Source organism: Homo sapiens, chromosome 9, assembly GCF_000001405.40.
Source record: "Homo sapiens chromosome 9, GRCh38.p14 Primary Assembly".
NCBI lineage: Eukaryota > Metazoa > Chordata > Mammalia > Primates > Hominidae > Homo > Homo sapiens.
The window spans coordinates 23,699,784-23,712,351 of record NC_000009.12 but is presented as its reverse complement, the minus strand read 5'-3'; the positions used below and the strand labels follow the sequence as shown (position 1 = coordinate 23,712,351).

Genomic DNA, 12,568 nt, shown 5'->3' with positions numbered 1-12,568 from the left:
AAATGTCTGATTATTGTCCCAGTCACTGTCATTTCACAGGAAGATTTTATGATTTTGAAGACTGTGTTGCAGCTAATGATGTAATGGAAAATCCCGTGATGAAGAGCTAAGACCGCGAGTCCTACACCCAACTCTTTTTCTTTGTGTCTTTGGAAAAGTTGCTTCACCTTTCTGTGCCTCAGTCTTCCTATTTCCCAGATACAAAGAAATTGGACTAAATGATCACTGTATTTTCTTTTTGCTCCAAAATTAAGACTCCCCCCGCCCCACAGCCTCCTATCAGCACCATATTACTTTGTTGAAGATTGTGTCGCCTCTGGGGACTTGAATCCCCAATTTGAGAAATGAAATTTCATTTTTGAAATGATTAATAGAATTTTCATTGTAGTCTGTACACAAAGTACCAATGCGTATAATGTTGGGTATATGACAAAGATTGTGGCTTCTGTTAGCTTTTAAACAGTATTTCAGAAATAAACTCTCAATTTAATATGTGATTATAAATCATCTTCATTACAGTGAGTGTGTGGTAGTTACCAGGATGTACAAAGTAGGATGATGACAAGGTTTCTTATTTCAAGGGGTTAAGTCAGTCACAAGAAAGGGTTAAGAGATAAGTACATTTTGGTTAAGTCAGTATTTAAGAAAACAAGGCATATAATGCAGTGTGGGTGCAGGTAAGAGGCACCCAACTCAGACTGTAGTGGAGAGGACTGATTAGTGTTGACTTTAGGGACTAGGTGATACCCATGAGGTGTCTGAAATGACTGAAATTTAGCTGATTGGAAGGAGGGCAGCTTATTTTTAACACAGAGAAGTGAGAGCAGGAAGCTTGGAATACTACCGAAGGTTTTGTATACTTGTATGGAAGAGGTAGCCAGTGCTCTGACCATAAAGGAATAAGAATTCTAAAATTTATCTGAAAGTCTTAGGGAGCCCTTTAGGTAATTTAAGTTGAGGATGACATTATCAAATATATTCCGTGGTATCTCTGAACTTCTCACTTGAATTAAAGCAATTGTTTAGTCTTAAAACATTCAACAAATCCAGTCACGATAAAATTTAAGGTTCTGTGTGTATTTTCCACTGATAGTTTTCTAAATCCTATATTTTGGAATATCCGTTAAAGATAACTGCCCTAACCTTTAATACCTTTTATAAAATTTCCTGTTTGGATGTGATTATTTCTTTTAGCTCTAACTTTGCTGGAGCTAATACTTAATTTCTTATTGTTATCTTAGGCTTATTCATTTTCAACCCATTGTGAAATATGCCCTTCCTTATTGAAAACTTAATATTGGACTGTGATACATGTATGCCTTGATGTGTGTTTGAGACTTGTTCCTGGTAGGAGTTTGAATTTAGAAGCAGATCAAAGTACACATCTTCCTTTTGGGTGAATTTTGAGGTCTCTGGCCTGAGTTGTGGTTAGAGATCCCCCTTCTTCTGTGTACTATACTTCTGAGCTCATTTTGGAAGGTCCGATGTAGCCACCTGTCCAAATATCCATGATGCTGTCACAAGACCTTTGCTACTGCTTACTTAGAGCCTAGAGCTAACTTTTATTGAGTTATAGTGTCATTTTTCAGATAGTCCCACGAAGACTCCATCTTTAAAAAATATGAACAGCAATTAACTGTCCGTTTAAATAGGCATAACTGTGACCTTTCAGCTGGAGAGATTGAAAGGAGCTTTTTGAAAAAAGTCTAAAGTGGCAAGTGTCTAATTTTCAGGTTTAATGTTTGTAGTCCTGGGTCAGTAATTGACAAGTGATAAAAGTTGTTCAGTGGTGATCTTAGCAGTGGGTGACTTCTCAAATGTTTTTAGTTTAAAAAAGAGGGAACTTCTTTGTTCATTTATAGACCTTATCACTTTAATCTATTGGTATTAATGTCCACTGTCACTGATCTTTCCATTGATGAATCAGAGAAACGAGAGCAGTTGTGTGTTTGGACGAAAGCATTTAGAGGGACTTCTGATAGTGATGCACTGGGATTTTAAACATTGCTATGTACATTTAATAAAGTACTAATTCATAAGATGGTTTTGTTTCTTTGTATAATTTTGATCAACTTGTGTTTGATAGCCCACTCTTAGTGTATGTGTTACTCATCTTTGTATGTTTAATGTATCATTAGTTTTAGCTGCTGATGAAGAAATGAGCTTTTAATTACAAGTAATACACTATATTTCAAACGGTTCCATTTTCAAGACATAATTCAATAAATATATTCTATCTTTATTTTGTCTAGTCTAGTCTTGTTTGTGAAGAACAGTTTGAGAAGCCATGGGCCATTTACTTACCTGTAGTAGCAAGTACTTACTGCCTCCCCGTCCCTCCCCTTCCCTCATATAATCTCAGTATTGCTTGTCTTTGTTTATTATATCACTCGTAGCTTTTGTGAGAAATTCCAGAATAAACCTGAGTTTTAAATTGCTATCTTTGGAGTAGATTGGTGTTCAGTGTTGTACTCCCTGTATCATCTTTAAATATTTAAATTGCAGACTCTCTGGCTGCCTCTTAAATTAGATCCTTCACTTAGTAGTTTTGACATTTCATAACCTTGCTTCTCATGCATTAAATATTCACCTGTTTAAGTGGCAGTGAAAATTTAAAATCCAAACTCATATATTAATCCAGCAAATGGAAAATGGAGAACAGATTGCAGTGGAGAAAGAGGCTATTTTGACCTCAGTAGGACATATGCTGGAAGTCCATTGTTTTGAAGCATTTCTAAATAGAATTTGTCATTTAAAGCGAACTCTTTTGGGCCTTCAAGGGAGTTTAGTCTTGTAGAACCAAAAAGATACTTAACACTTTCTGAAAATAGCCCCTGTATGATTCTGTAGGTGCATATGAAGGCACCTGTAAGATCTAAATCCACAGGAAAAAAAAAAAATCGGAATGGAGAAGGTTGCTGGTAATGGTCAGATACAAAATTTAGTTTGGTAACTGATTTGATCTCCAGAGTGTGAGTCCTTAGGTAACTGATCTCCAGAGTGTGAGTCCTTATCCCACTATCAGCCTTCTTCCCACTTAGGTCTAAATACATTTTCTATTTATAATCTTTTTAGATGAAAGAAGAAATGTTTTCCAGGAAGGGAGGATTTTGATGACAGCGATATCCTTGATAGTGGAAGGGAAAGGAAGCTGTTTTAATTCCAAGAACAGTAAATAAAGGGATAGGGGTAGGACCTTGAGCCTTGGTCTGGGAGGAAGGAGAAGGCAATTACCCTTTCTTACACCTTTATTTCCTGAAAGTGAACGAAAATGGCATTGCTTACTCCTGAGAATTAGAAAGTAACAAAAATTAATTTAAAAATTCTAATGATGATGTGTAGTTTCTTTGGTTAATTGTAATTAGTGGCCACTTCTCTTTTCTTAGAAAAAATTACTCTTAAAAATATTAATGGAGCCGGGCGTGGTGGCTCATGCCTGTAATCCCAGCACTTTGGGAGGCCGAGGTGGGCTGATCACCTGAGGTCAGGCATTCGAGACCAGGCTGACCAACATGGTGAAACCCTGTCTCTAAAAAATACAAAAAAAGCCAGTGTGGTGGTACATGCCTGTAATCCCAGCTACTTGGAAGGCTGAGGCAGGAGAATAGCTTGAACCCGGGAGGCAGAGGTTACAGTGAGCCGAGATCACCCACTGCACTCCAGCCTGAGCAACAGAGTGAGACTCCGTCTCAAAATAATAAAAAGTGGAATAACTTTTAACTAATTTCTAGCAACATCCTGTTTTCTGTCTGTGGCCAGTTTCTCTGTGTATGCCTTTAAGAAACAGCCAGGATTCATTTAATTTTTCCCAACTCAGAACAAGTGAACTGAAACACTCACTTACCATAGTATTATTGAAGGAAAACTGGATGAGGAGACCAGGACACAGAAAGAGAAAGATCAGAGTTTGAACCCAGAATTCAACACTAGTTGTGTATAACCTTAGGCATGTTATTTACCTTGTCTGTGCCTGTTTCCCCAGCTATAAAATACTAATATGTATGCTGCCTACCTCATGGGGTTGTTGTGAGGCACAGACAAAATATTGTAGTTTGTGAAAATGCCTTGTAAATGGTGAAGTCTCATAATGCCCTAAATGTAAGTTTAACATTAAACATTGTTACCGACGTAAGTTTATATATAATCTAATCACTCCTGTCCTGCCTGTGGTAGTGGAAAATGGTTCTTTGACAATGTCACTGAAAGATACTGTTTTTGAGAAGGTTTGTCTTGGAGCCTTTTTAATGTGGCTGGGAACTAAAGATACAATATAAACTGAAGAGTGGACATTGGGGAAAAAAAAAATCACATAACTGACCTAGGTATGTTTTCAAAGCCTTTATATAAGCATTAAATATAAACCCATTTTCCTAAATATATTTTAGGATGACTTTTAAGACACACCACCTACACTCATCTGAATTGCACAAAGCAGTGAATGTCACTGCATGAGTAAATTGTTCTAGAACACTGTAATGGACCCAGGTTTCTCTCTACTTTAAGGGGCTGGGCATTTACCTAAATTTTCAGATGCATGTAGAGGTAAATAATATTTATAATGTCACATAGATTAGGCTCTGAAGCTTTTCATGTGGATTAGAAATTATTTAATTATTCCTAATAGCCATATAAAGAAGGTAGAATTGTGGTAATAGGCTTGAAGAACTTAGTTCTAAGTTCACAGAACTGGTTATGAATTAAACCTAGTTTTGAGCCCAGGCACACCGATTAGCTGTTACCTTTAACCACATTTCCACTGCCTCCTGTGACACTTGATCTCATGCAGAGCCTGTCACCTGCTGCTGGTTGCTTGATCAGTCATTGGAAGTTAGCCTCCTTGGAGAATGTGTAGATGCCTGCCCTGGAGCCCATGGGACATGGCTGTTCATAATGGGAGTACTTCAGTCACATGATCTGGAACAGAGTAACAGCTGACTTGTTGGGTGCTCCCTCCTGTGGAAAAAAAAGCCATAGAATCCTAGATAGGGATGCACGTCCCAGCTGGTGAGGTTTCACCTTTTCTGGATAATTGAGAATCTTACACGAGAAAAGAAATTAAGTTTTCATTGATTCATATTACTGAATGCATATATAATTCATTGGCCTTGTTTCATCAGTTTATAGCAATCCCAAGATTTGATTCCATCTAAGTTACATTAATCACTTGAAATTGGCCACTTGTTCTTCACTTACATTTAAGTTCCCCAGTCTTCATTGTTCTTAAGTATTTAGGCATAGAGAAAACAAATAGCGTATGAATAGTTATGTATGTTTTCTCCACCACTATTCCAAATTCCTTGTTTCTTCTGTAGAACAGGACAGTGCTAATATAACTTCCAAACATAGCCTTTGGAACAACAGGTATATTTTCACTTGTTAATGAGCAAACGGTTTGAATAAAGAAGAGTATTAAATGTTAACACCATTGGGGCAGGGGTGTGAAAGATAACGAGGTCTTTATAAAGTAGTATAAAATGTGGCTTATATTTTTTTCTGGAAAGCCAAGAAAAAGTGGCAACAGAGAGCTGTGGGCACAATTCAAATTATGGGGAAAATGTTTGGTGCTTCATACTAAAAGTTATTTAAGTATTAGTGTAAATTGGGAAAGTTTGTTGTTAACTGGATTAAAGGTGGGTACCAATAATAAAATGAGCAGGCAGTAGTTATCACTTTACCTCAGCAAATCAATCCCAGACACATTGACCATTTTTAGTAATAATCTGAGGATGGCGTATATTGTGAAATTTCTGTCCCTTGAAGTAGGCTAGTCCAGAATATTACAGCTAAACCAAAGGGAATGCGATCAGGAATAGCTCATGAGACTAAATGTTGGCAAAGATAGGTTATAGGCAGAGAGTCATCAATTACAATTGGGGCAGGAGATCTGGATGACTTGAACTGACCCTTAAATGCTCTGGTTCAGTAAGCCGTTGTGGATCTGCATGATCAATGGGGTATTATTGGATGGGCTTTACTCACCAAATGTGTTAGCATCTATCACATGTCAGGCACTCACTAGGCATTGAGGATACAGTGATGACCAAGAATGATGTGGTTTCTTCCCTCACAGAGTTTACATGAGGAATGATGATTATAAACAAATACATGCAGACCTATTTTGTCTTTCGTCCTTGTGGGATTTGGTATACCGTATCTCAAAGACATGAAACTTTTTGAAAGTACATACAGTGGCAGGCAAAGTTAATTATAGGGACTTAAGACCTTTTGAAAATCAAGGTTAAAAAGACCTGTGGATGAGAAGACAACAGACAAAGGATAATGAGGGCTTGTTCACACATTCAAATTTCTGGGAATTTATGGACAATCATACAGCATATATCAAAAGAGCATACTTACTGATAAGGGTGAATTTTTTTTTAGAAATGTAGCACTACCACCCACACAGATGTGAGAGGCTAGAAAACAAAAATGTTCCATGAATTTGGAATCTTTAAGCTTAGAATGATTGGGCCTAAATCCCTATTCTAGAGCAGGTGTTCCCAACCCCTGGCCATGGACCCATACCAGTCCGTGGCCTGTTAGGAACCAGTGCACACAGCCAGAGGTGAGCAGCAGGTGAGCCAGCATTATTGCCCAAGCTCCACCTCCTGTCCGATTAGCTGCAGCATTAGATTCTCATCAGGGCACAAACCCTATTTTGAACTGCACATGCAAGGAATCTAGATTGTGCAGTTTTTATGAGAATCTAATGCATCCCCCACCATGGTCCATGGAAAAATTGTCTTCCACAAAACCAGTCCCTGGTACCAAAAAGGTTGGGGACCACTGCTCTAGGGGATTGGCCCCACAGAAGACAGCCTATTATTGTGAACAGTACTGTGCTGTATGCACCACTGGTCTGTTTTAAGAACTTTAAATTTTAGTGAATTAAAACTGGACTAAAGGTGGGTACAAATGATAAAATGAGCAGGCAGTTGTTGAATCACTATACCTCCGCAAATTGATCCCAGACCCATTGACCATTTTTAGTAATAATCTGGAGGATGGGATATATTGTGAAATTTCTGTCCCTTGCAGTAGGCTAGTCCAGCATATTACAGATACTCTTCCCTGTCCACCTAGGGGAGAGGGAATGGGAATACTACTACCCATTTGTCTAGAATTTTCCTGGAAATGAATAAAGCAGTTAGCACCTGACTTGCTTGAACTTCAGTGTTCTATGCTGTTCATGGGAAAGTTACCGAGGCAGTTTTTGAGTTTCTAAAGGGAGGTGGGTGAGTGAGCATGCATATACATTTAATTTTATTTTCCTTTTCCAGGTTTCCTATGCTCGCCCAAGTTCAGCTTCTATCAGAGATGCAAATTTATATGTCAGCGGACTTCCAAAAACAATGACCCAGAAGGAGTTGGAACAGCTTTTTTCACAATATGGACGCATTATTACTTCTCGTATTCTTGTCGACCAGGTCACTGGTAAGTAGACAGCCACTCCGGACAGTCTTTCCCTGTCTCTGACTAGCAGATTGTGAAATATTCTGTCTTTCCATGTAGCAGTCTTGCTTCTAGAACATATCAAAGGTATATGTGGGCCAGAAAATGCAATTTTCTGCTGGAATTGTTCATAAATATGCATGGATAAAAATAGATTGTGGAGTATAGTGAGCGTGCTTGAGTCATTTCCACCCTGAAGGTGCAGGATTGAAGCCTGTTTCATGGCTTGTAATAAATTTATAGATGCTATAATCTTCATTTCCAAGCCACTGTGTGATAAAAGCCCCCATCCTGCTTATAGAGTACTAATAAACAACCTTTCTTTTGTCAAAAAGCGAAGTTTAATGCAGCGGTATGCAGCTAGTTCTCCAAGGGAGGATTACACTACATCCACACTGGTAATTGCTGTTCAGGCTGTTTTCCAGGTTCATGCTGTGCTGTATGGGCATATGTAAGAGTTTGAAATTTTGAATGTTAAAAATTTATTTTATTCCTAATATCACTGTTAGCCCAACTGAAATGGGAAGACTAAAATGTTCATTAAAACTCTTGAATGTAAGGGAGTTGTTCTGCCAAATCTTAGTTAACAAAGCTATAGCAATATAGATTTGATTATGAATTTTAAAAATAAAATACAGATACAATTTTCTATTATAAAAGCAATACTTGGCCAGGCACAGTGGCTCATGCCTATAATCCAAGCACTTTGGGAGGCCAAGGAGGGCGGATCACCTGAGGCTGGGAGTTCAAGACCAGCGTGACCAACATAGAGAAGCCCCATCTCTACTAAAAATACAAAATTAGCTGGGTGTGATGGCGCATGCCTGTAATCCCAGGTACTCAGGAGGCTGAGGCAGGAGAATCACTTGAACCCCAGAGGCGGAGGTCACGGTGAGCTGAGATCATGCCATTGCACTCCAGCCTGGGCAATGGGCAACAAGAGCAAAACTCCATTTCAAAAAATAAGTAAAAAATAAAATGAAAGCAATACTTGTTCTTTAGGAAACAGTTAAAAAATAGAGAAACATTGTGAGGAGGAAATATTAGCTGTAGTACCATAGACTGAAGCAGCCACATGAAGATTTGTGAGGTTGTTTTTGTTTGTTTTTTTAAGGTAGCTTTTCTCCTCACTGTTTGTTTCTCTCCCCGCCACCCGTATAATAATAATACCTTGGAGGCATGTTGTATATTACAATGTCTAATTCTTTTAAAGCAGTGACTTCAGAAGAAAATTGAGCCAGATTTTTCATTCATCAAGTGAAGATCCATTTAGTTGATCTGAATCTAATCAGAGGAGCCCATATTACCTGCCTCTGTGTTGTTAATTGGCTTCATAGGAAGCACCACCTTTAGAGTTCTGAGTAGAGAGAGCTAGCACTACATGCATGCCTGGGAGAATAGCCTACAGATTTTGCTGTCATGAGACTATTTAGTCAAGTGAGAGTATATAAAATACAGCCTCCTTAATTGTGTTAGTTAATTCATAATACTTATACATTGCCACCCTGTGTTGTTATCACATAGACTAATAATGGTGTTAAATAGAAATCCAGGCCTAGAAATAAAGATGAATTTGTTCAAAGCAACAAAAATATTTTTTATTTCATTTGTGCTTTCTAATTCATTCATTCTGAGATCTTGTGAATTGAGAGTAGGTTTCACCTATGACACAAAGTGCGTCTCATCTTTTACCTGCTAGTCCATCACAGGTGGACCTAGCTTGTTTTAGTCAGCGGTTCTCAAGTATGTCCCGCACCTGCAGTATCAGCAGTCTTCTGGAACCCTGCTAAAAATGCAAATTATTGGGCTTCATTCAGAACCTACTGAATAAATCTCTGAGGGTGAGCCACAGGTTGTTCTTAGGTATGCTTAAGTAGGAGGACCACCGATTTAGGTGACTCTAGCTGTGTAGAGGCTGTTTTTTTTTTTTTTTTTTTTTTTTTTTTTTGCTAATCTGATGCTTTTCTAATGGAACAGCTAAATTCTAGAGGTTATTAATTCTTAATAGGCGCTAGTAGATAAGTGAAAGGATTTGCTATCATTTCACTATTTATTCTTCATACTTAAGGCTTTCAAAGTGAACTTACTCAATTTACCTGAAATGAAAAATGAAACCCTGCAATTTTCTTATTCAGCCATCAGGTGGTAATAATGTGCAATGCATGCTCTTTAAATAGAAAAGGTAAAGTGATAGGGGCTGTCTTAGATACGCATATGTGGAAAAAATGCTTTGTCTACATTAGAAAATTCTTAGTCATTGACCTTACACAGTATTAATTTTAAAGCAAGTAGACCTTCTTTCTTTTTTTTTTTTTAAGCTCCTCCAAGTATGATGGTCCAGTGCTCATTTACTTGCCAAAAAAAATTTCCCTGCCACTGCTTATCTCATGATGACCAGCTGTGGTCACCCCACTAGCCTGTTCACGCTAATTAAATGGAATAAGCTGGGTTTCCCTCTACAATTTTTCATAACCTGGAAAGGTTCTTGGCTATCCTTTCCCATTTGTGTCTTTCACACTGGGGAGAATGTGGGGCAGGGAGTGATCTTCTGTAGTCAGGAGTGATGCTGCTGAGGTCAGAAAGCTTTGATGCTTTACTTCTAGAAATTTATTTATTTTTAAAATCTACGTCTTTTCTTTTTCTCCATATAATATTTTTCTGTAATAAAATATAGCTAGTCAGAAGCACAAGAGAGCTTCAGAGAACTGGAAGAGCATTTTCAGGCATTTTTTTCCTAAAGGACCTATATCCTATGCAATATTATTAAGCTGAATATATTATTTAAAATTTCAACCGAAATGTCTTTCTACCACAGTGTATGTATTTTTAGCATAGCTTTGTAGCATTTTTAGCAAATTCTTCTTTCTGTTCTCCTTGTTTCAAGGACAGGAACTACTGTGTCCCTCATTTCTGAGCTGCTTATCCAATAGCACAAATTGAAAAATGGAACTCCGGTACACTATTGACATTAAAAGAGTGTACGGGAGGGAGGTGGGAGAGAGAGAAAACATGGACATGCTTGTGTTTTCTTGTCTTAGCTGATTGGAATGCATGTGATAATGGGTACTCAGATTATGTAAGTGACACGAATTTTTCTAAAAATGCAAAATTGTGATTCTAAACTGAATGGCTAGTAAGTAAAGGGGAAAGTTTCCTCCTGGTGTGATTTTGTGGGAAATGTTATATGTAGGTGAAAACATGTTCTTGAGAAGGAAAAATTAATGTGTCCTTTCTTCTCTCCTTCCCTTCTCCTTCTGTTCCCTCTTTTCCAAATCTTTACTCAAATCTACCATAGGCATATCAAGGGGTGTAGGGTTTATTCGATTTGACAAGCGAATTGAGGCAGAAGAAGCTATCAAAGGCCTAAATGGCCAGAAACCTCCCGGTGCCACGGAGCCAATCACTGTAAAGTTTGCTAATAACCCAAGCCAAAAAACCAATCAGGCCATCCTTTCCCAGCTGTACCAGTCTCCAAACAGAAGGTATCCAGGACCGCTAGCTCAGCAGGCACAGCGTTTTAGGTAAGTCTGGTTTGGTTCTTGTGCCCAGCTACTAAACTGAAAGAGAATACTCAGGTTTACTGTCCAGTACTTTTATTGACAGGATCTCTGGTTTGCTTTTGTCAGTGTTGTTGGTTTTATTACTATTAATTTTTCATCTCCATGGGCACAGAGAGAATCTACTTGAGGAATAGTGTCTTTTGCTAATATTGAAGGTGGGGACCAAAGGACAGTAACCTACAGCAGTGATTCTTAACCAAGGGTGATTTTTGCCTCCCAGGGAACATTTGGCAATGTCTAGAGGTATTCATGTTGGCACAACCTGTGGGGGTGCTACTAGCATGTAATGCTAGAGGTCGGGGATGCTGCTAAGCTCCTACAGTGTACAGCATAGCCCCAGCAACCAGAAGTTACCTGGTCCAAAGCACCAATAATGCTGTGGTTGAGAAATTCTAATCTGTAGCTTTCTGGGGTTATCTGAATTGTTTCCAGGGCTTCAGATTTCCTTTTTTTTTTTTCTTAAAGGATTTTATTCTCATGTGTCAATTTTTAGGTCAAGCTGTTTCTGTTACTTCACTTTATAGTATGTGCACCATTAAGGGTATATAACCTATGTGACTACGTGAAGTTTCTACAAATGAGTTCCTCTCTTCCTTTTCAAAATTGTTTACAAACAGGTTGGCAGACTTTCTCTGTACAGTACCAGATAGTAAATATTTAACTTTATGGGTTATGGTCACTGTTGCATCTGTCTTGTTTTTGTTTTTAAACAACCTGTTAAAAATGTAAAAGCCATTCTTAGCTTATAGCCCATACAGCAACAGGTGGGAGGCAGTCTCCATTTGGCCTGTCGGTTGTAATTTACTGACCTCTCTGTAGTTCATAGAATGACCGTGGCTTTAGCCCAAAGAAGACACTCTATCTCACTGACAGGTGTACATATGCTAACTGTTTAAGTTTTATTCTGATCCTGGGATAACAAACCAGGAGTCATTCAAAAAATCTCTAATCTGCATGTGAGAAGAACAGTGACTTTAAGAAGTTAAGCAGAGCAGAGAGTTTTTGGTTTCATAAGCAAGTCATGCAGTTTTTATTTTCCAGGACATTTTTAAATATCCTTTTTGGCCATATGGTACACTATACCCAGAATGCTATCTAACCCCACACTGATTTTTAAAAATTATTTCCAAGTGCATATCAATTTTATTTATTTCATTCATGGGACAGAATAGTTAATTACCAAAAATATAATCACAAATATAACCTAATAAGATCAGGAGTTATGTTTTCTAGCTTAAATCTATGCATTTATTTTTTTCATTGGAATATTTGCAGTGCTGAAGAGAGTGGAGATAAAATCAGTTAAAAATAGCTCCTTTTAAAAAAATACTAAATTATGTTGCTTGAGATATGAGAAGGAAATTTGTTATGAATGCCACATTAAATTTCAACTTAAGTTGGCCTTTGCCGTGGGAGAAGAGGTGGTACTGTCAAAAGCATTGAGCCTTGTACTTCATGCTCTGCTGTGAGGAAAAGGCATTGGTATTAAAAAAAAAAAAAAAAAAAAAAAAAAAAAAAAAAAAAAAACCTTTGCCACCTTTGACTTCCCATGGTAG

The 12,568-nt window shown here is 37.9% G+C and overlaps 1 protein-coding gene across 59 annotated transcripts in view; it reads left to right on the top strand.

Annotated features, from left to right (window-relative positions):
• Positions 1 to 12,568, top strand: part of ELAVL2 (ELAV like RNA binding protein 2) — a 160,498-nt gene that overhangs the window by 138,250 nt on the left and 9,680 nt on the right. For all 59 annotated transcript variants that reach the window (XM_047422916.1, NM_001385694.1, NM_001351466.2 and 56 more), the window contains 2 exons: positions 7,281 to 7,434; positions 10,748 to 10,973. In XM_047422916.1, the coding sequence (XP_047278872.1) occupies positions 7,281 to 7,434; positions 10,748 to 10,973 (380 nt within the window). The remainder of the gene's footprint in view (positions 1 to 7,280; positions 7,435 to 10,747; positions 10,974 to 12,568) is intronic.